This window comes from Homo sapiens, chromosome 8 (assembly GCF_000001405.40).
Source record: "Homo sapiens chromosome 8, GRCh38.p14 Primary Assembly".
Classification (NCBI taxonomy): domain Eukaryota; kingdom Metazoa; phylum Chordata; class Mammalia; order Primates; family Hominidae; genus Homo; species Homo sapiens.
Genome location: NC_000008.11, coordinates 8,959,042 through 8,963,225, shown reverse-complemented (window position 1 = coordinate 8,963,225; position 4,184 = coordinate 8,959,042). Strand labels below are relative to the sequence as shown.

General features: G+C 44.3%; 1 non-coding gene and 1 pseudogene across 1 annotated transcript; both read right to left on the bottom strand.

The window, feature by feature from the left end:
• On the bottom strand, positions 1,102-1,479 carry RPL10P19 (ribosomal protein L10 pseudogene 19; annotated as a pseudogene).
• On the bottom strand, positions 1,518-1,651 carry LOC124900259 (small nucleolar RNA SNORA70). Its single transcript, XR_007061200.1, has one exon. It is a non-coding gene; the product is annotated as a small nucleolar RNA SNORA70 (small nucleolar RNA).
• Between the last annotated feature and the right edge of the window lie 2,533 nt (positions 1,652-4,184).

Below are 4,184 nucleotides of genomic sequence, written 5' to 3'. Positions count from 1 at the left end.
CGCCTAACCTTGAAAACAACAAACAAACAAATATGGATAAGAGCATCATAGTCCTGACTTGGTTTTGAAATACTAGTTTTCTATATTAGTATGTTATTAGTAGCCTTTTATTATTATTATGTTTAAACAGCATTAACTTTGTTCTTAATTTGGGTTTTAGTTTTTGGGGGGCAGCTTTAGGTTCGCAGAAAAACTGAGCAGAAAGTCCAGAGAGCTCCCATGCATCCTCTCTTTGCCCAGCAGTTAGGCTGTTACCATCTTGCATTAATGTAGTACGTTTGTTACAATTGACAAACCAATATGGATCCATTATTATTAATTGAATCCATGGTATACATTAAAATTCACTGTTTGTATCGTACACTTCTATGGATTTTGACAAATGCCTAAAGTCCTCTCTCCATCATTACAGTTTCATACAGAACTAGCTCCACTGAGCTAAAATTCTCCGGTTCTCCACCTATTCATCCTACTCTTTCACTCCTTCCCCAGCCTCTGGCAAACACTGATCTTTTTACTGTCTCCGTGGTTTTGCCTTTTCCAGAATGTCATACAGTTGGATTGTATGTCTGTAGCCATTTTTGACTGGCTTCTTTCATTGAGTAATATGGCCGTAATACCCCCCACATCTTTTCATGGCTGATAGCTCATTTCTTTTTAGCGCTGAGTAATATTCTGTTACCTGAATGCACCATAGTTTGCTTATCCATTCACACGCTGAAGGACATCTTGGTTGCTTCCAATTTGGCGTGATTCATGACTGGCCTTTTTTGTGTATCTGTAATTAAGAGATTACACATCAGAAGTAATCTTCACACAGTATTTATTAGCCAAACATGATAAGTAATGGCTTTCTGCAGTCAAACACACTGGACTCCAGAGTTCCTCACGTGTGGTTCTAATGCCTCCCTCCTCTGCATTCTCCCCTTGCACAGACTAGGCACACAGTGAAATATTTTTTGAAATTTAAATGTTATAAAAATGATACCCACTTCAGAACAGTTTTCCAACATGGAATATGTCCAGTGAGAAGTAAAAACTCACTTCCACACCAGCCCTATTCTTACTCTCAAGAGGTGACTACACTTTGTCATTTTTTTAAGGTGGACAGGAAGTAGGATTTATTGGTGGGCATTAGGAGGGGGCAGCACAGTAGAAGCCCTCATGAGTGCAGGGCCCACCGCTTGTCCGGAGGGTCACGATTGGGGGTATACTTGACCCCACAGTTATTGGGATAAGCTGCTTCTCAGCCATCATGTCTTCAAATTCATCCACACTGAACTTGGTAAAGTCCCACTTCTCTGAGAAGTGGATATTCTGGCGGCCAGGGAACTTAAAGTTGGCCTTGCATAGGGCCTCAATCACATGCTCCTTGTTCTGCAGCTTGGTGCAGATGGACATGATGACTTGGCCAATGTGAACCCTGGCCACAGCACCCTGGGGCTTTTCAAAGGCACCTCGAATACCTATTCAGAGCACTGAGGGTAGTGCAAGGTCAGAGACATGAACAACCATATGACTGTCTCCAAGGTCCCTTAGAGCAACCCATATAAGAAACAGGCTGCGTACACTACCAAGGAAGCTGCTGTTTGCAGCTTTTGCACACTGGGCCCCAGGAGGAAAGGAACTCCATCAGCTCAATTGGCTGCAGCCCTTTATCATTTTTACATGTAGCCTACTATCTGTTTCTTCTTCATATACAACCATATGTGTATATTACCTTTTTATGGTAACAAAATATATATGCCAATTGGAATATGTATAAATAATTTCTTTAAAAAGCACCTTGTATTATTAAGAAAATGCGTTTGAAAATAAAATCTGATATGGTTTGGCCCTGTATCCCCACGCAAATCTCATCTTGTAGCTTCCACAATTCCCATGCATTGTGGGAGGAACCCAGTGGGAGGTAATTGAATCTTGGGGGCGGGTCTTTCCCATGCTATTCTCATGATAGTTAATAAAGTTTACCTGCACAAGCTCTCTGGACATCCACGTAAGATGTGACTTGCTCCTCCTTGCCTTCCACCATGATTGTGAGGCATCCCCAGCCACGCAGAACTGTGAGCTCTCCATTAAACCTCTTTCCTTTGTAAATTGCCCATTCTCGAGTACGTCTTTATCAGCAGTGTGAAAACAGACTAATACAGTAGATTGGTACCAGTAGAGTGGGGTGATGCTGGAAAGATACTTGAAAATGTGAAAATGACTTTAGACCTGGGTAACAGGCAGAGGATGGAACAGTTTGGAGGGCTCAGAAGAAGAAAGGAAAATGTGGGAAAGTATGGAACTTCCTAGAGACTTGTTGAATGGTTTGGACAAAAATGCTGATAGTGATATGAACAATAAGATCCAGGCTGAGGTGGCCTCAGATGGAGGTGAGGAACTTGTTGGGAACTGGACCAAAGGTGACTTTTGTTATGTTTTAGCAAAGAGACTCGGTGGCATTTTGTCCCTGCCCTAGAGACTGTGGAACCTTGAGCTTGCGAGAGATGATTTAGAGTATCCGGGGGAAGAAATTTCTAAGCAGCAAAGCATTCCAGAGGAGACTTTCGTGTTGTTAAAGGCATTCAGATTTAAAAGGGAAACAGGGCATAAAAGTTTGGAAAATTTGCAGCCTGACAATGCGATAGAAAAGAAAATCTTATTGTCTGAGGGGAAACTCAAGCCAGCTGCAGAAATTTGCGTAAGTAACGAGGAGCCGAATGTTAATCTCCAAGACAATGGGGAAAATATATCCAGAGCACGTCAGAGGTTTTCACGGCAGCCCATCCCATCACAGCCCCAGAGGCCTAGCAGAAAAAGTGGTTTCATGTGCCAGGCCCAGGGTCCCTACGCTGTGTGCAGCATAGGGACTTAGTGCCTTGCGTCCCAGCCACTTCAACCATGGCTGAAAGGAGCAACAGTAGAGCTCAGGCTGTGGCTTCAGAGGGTGCAAGCGTCAAGCCTTGGCAGCTTCCATGTGGTGTTGAGCCTGCCAGTACACAGAAGTCAAGAATTGAGGTTTGGGAACCTCCTCCTAGATTTCAGAGGACGTAAGGAAACGCCTGGATGCCCAGGCAGAAGTTCGCTGCAGGTGTGGGGCTGTCATGGAGAACCTCTGCTAGGGCAGTGCAGAAGGGAGATGGGGGGTCAGAGACCCCACACACAGTCCCTACTGGGGCACTGCCTAGTGGAGCTGTGCCCAGAAGAGGGCCACCGTCCTCCAGACCCCAGGATGGTAGATCCACCAATAGCTTGCGCCATGTACCTCAAAAAGCTGCAAACACTCAATGCCAGCCTGTGAAAACAGCCGGGAGGGAGGCTGTACTCTGCTAAGCCATAGAGGCAGAGCTGCCCAAGACCATGAGAACCCACCTCTTGCATCAGCATGACCTGGATGTGAGACATGGAGTCAAAGGAGATCATTTTGGAGCTTTAAGATTTGACTCCCCTGCTGGATTTCGGACTCGCATGGGGCCTGTAGCCACTTTGTTTTGGCCAATTTCCCCCATTTGGAATGGTTGTATTTACCCAATTCCTGTACCTCCATTATGTCTAGGAAGTAACTAGCTTGCTTTTGATTTTACAGGCTCATAGGCAGAAGGGACTTGCCTTATCTGGATAAGAATTTGGACTGTGGACTTTTGAGTTAATACTGAAATGAGTTAAGACTTCGTGGGACTGTTGGGAAGGCATGATTGGTTTTGAAATGTGAAGACATGAGTTTTGGGAGGGGATAAGGGCAGAATGATATTGTTCAGCTCTGTGTCCCCACCCAAATCTCACCTTGTAGCTCCCACAATTCTCATGTGTTGTGAGAGGAACCTGATGGGAAGTAATTGAATCATGGGGTGGGTTTTTCTCCAAGCTGTTCTTGTGATACTGAGTAAGTCTCATGAGATCTGATGGCTTTAAAAACAGGAGTTCGCCTGCATAAGCTCTCTTTGCATGCTGCCATCCATGTAAGATGTGACTTGCTCCTGCATGCATTCTGCCATGATCATCATGCATCCCCAGCCACCTGGAACTGGAGCTCTCCATTAAACCTCTTTCCTTTGTAAATTGCCCAGGACAAGTACGTCTTTATCAGCACCATGAAAATGGATTAATACAAAGTCAAATAGAATATGTGTTTTAAATTATCTTTTTGGTATCTTCAATGAGAGAGAGAGACTTTTGATTCCTTTTCTCCAAAGTACAAC